We start from the raw sequence: 1,308 nt of genomic DNA on the forward strand, positions 1-1,308 counted from the left end.
GGCTTGCGTTTCCCCCAAGAGCAGAATAAACAAATCTCTTTTATAAGGCTGTAGGATTCTGATAGGAAAGTTCTTCAGAATCTTGAACAAGGTCAGGAAATGTCACCTTCTGACTTCAGTGCTTGGAAAATTAGCATAAGGGAGGCAGGGGAAGGAAGGAAAGGACTTGGCCACTTCTTAAACTGAAGGGACGATTACATCACTTGTGAGTGGCATGTTCTTGGATACATGGTTTAACCTGTCTGAGCCCAGGGCTGTTGTGGCTGAGACAGTGCTATGTCCACCACAAACTCTCCTTTCTATGGTATGGTGTTGGTGTTTTCACTGAGGGGTGCCTGTCTAGCCAGAAATTCCACATTCCACCTGCACTTCCATTTAAGTGAGGCCACTTGACCAGTTCTCCCCAGTGGGATGTGAATGGCAGCGATGCATCCTTTGTGAGCTGAGGCTTTTAAGAAGCTGGTGAGGCTTCCTATGCTTTCTTTCTGCTTCTGCTGGCTAGAAACAAAGGACACTGAGGCCCTCGGGGGATGGTAGAGCCACAGGAAGCACCCCGGGTCCTTAAATCAACATGCGGAGGAAAGCCAACGGCCAGCCATGGATACTTGCATTGGACTTTTAAGTGAATGAGAGGTAAATTTCTATTATGTGAAGATATTGCAAATACTGGGTTTATTTGTTATAATAGCTAGTGTTATTCTAACTAATAAAGCCATCGTATAAAAGGGGTGTACTAGTTTGAAGTGCTTCACAAACCCAGGTTGCAAATGTCGTATTCATTGATGTATTCATCTGTTCGCTTTCAAAAATAAATATTTATTAAGCACATTCTGTAGGCCCTGCTCTAAGTGCTGGAGATACAGTGAAGTGCAAGACAGATGAAAGCCCTGCTCATATAAGGCATTTACAAATATAAGGATGATGAAAATAACCTCCTTCCCCTCTTCCCACACTGGTGATATTTCATCTCCATCAAATACTTGCTTCTAAACCATGCTCTTTCCTGCCTCCATGCTGTTGGAGAAGTGTTCTCTTCCTGTGAACTCCTTCTCTTTATAGACCCAGCTCTCCCGTGGGCAGCCCCTGAGGAGAGGAACTCCTCAGGCCAAGGCAGCAACTCCCTTCTACCTGTCTTCCTGCCCTGACAACAGCATGAGCTGTGTTGTAGTCTGTTTGCTTTTTTATGCACTGATTTCCCTCTGCAGTCTGTGACCTCCTTCTCATCCACCTTTGTATTTTAGACTATTGCACAATGCTGGGCATACAGCAGGTGCTCGCTGAATATTTGTAGAGTTAATCTGAATATAA

General features: G+C 44.6%; 1 annotated feature.

The window, feature by feature from the left end:
- Nucleotides 312-606: a silencer, noted in NCBI's record as "tiled region #432; K562 Repressive non-DNase unmatched - State 21:Repr". NCBI's record gives its function as "represses a minimal TATA promoter and a strong SV40 promoter by Sharpr-MPRA in K562 cells {active_cell/tissue: K562}" and the evidence as "EXISTENCE:reporter gene assay evidence [ECO:0000049][PMID:27701403]".

This window comes from Homo sapiens, chromosome 20 (assembly GCF_000001405.40).
Source record: "Homo sapiens chromosome 20, GRCh38.p14 Primary Assembly".
Classification (NCBI taxonomy): Eukaryota; Metazoa; Chordata; class Mammalia; order Primates; family Hominidae; genus Homo; species Homo sapiens.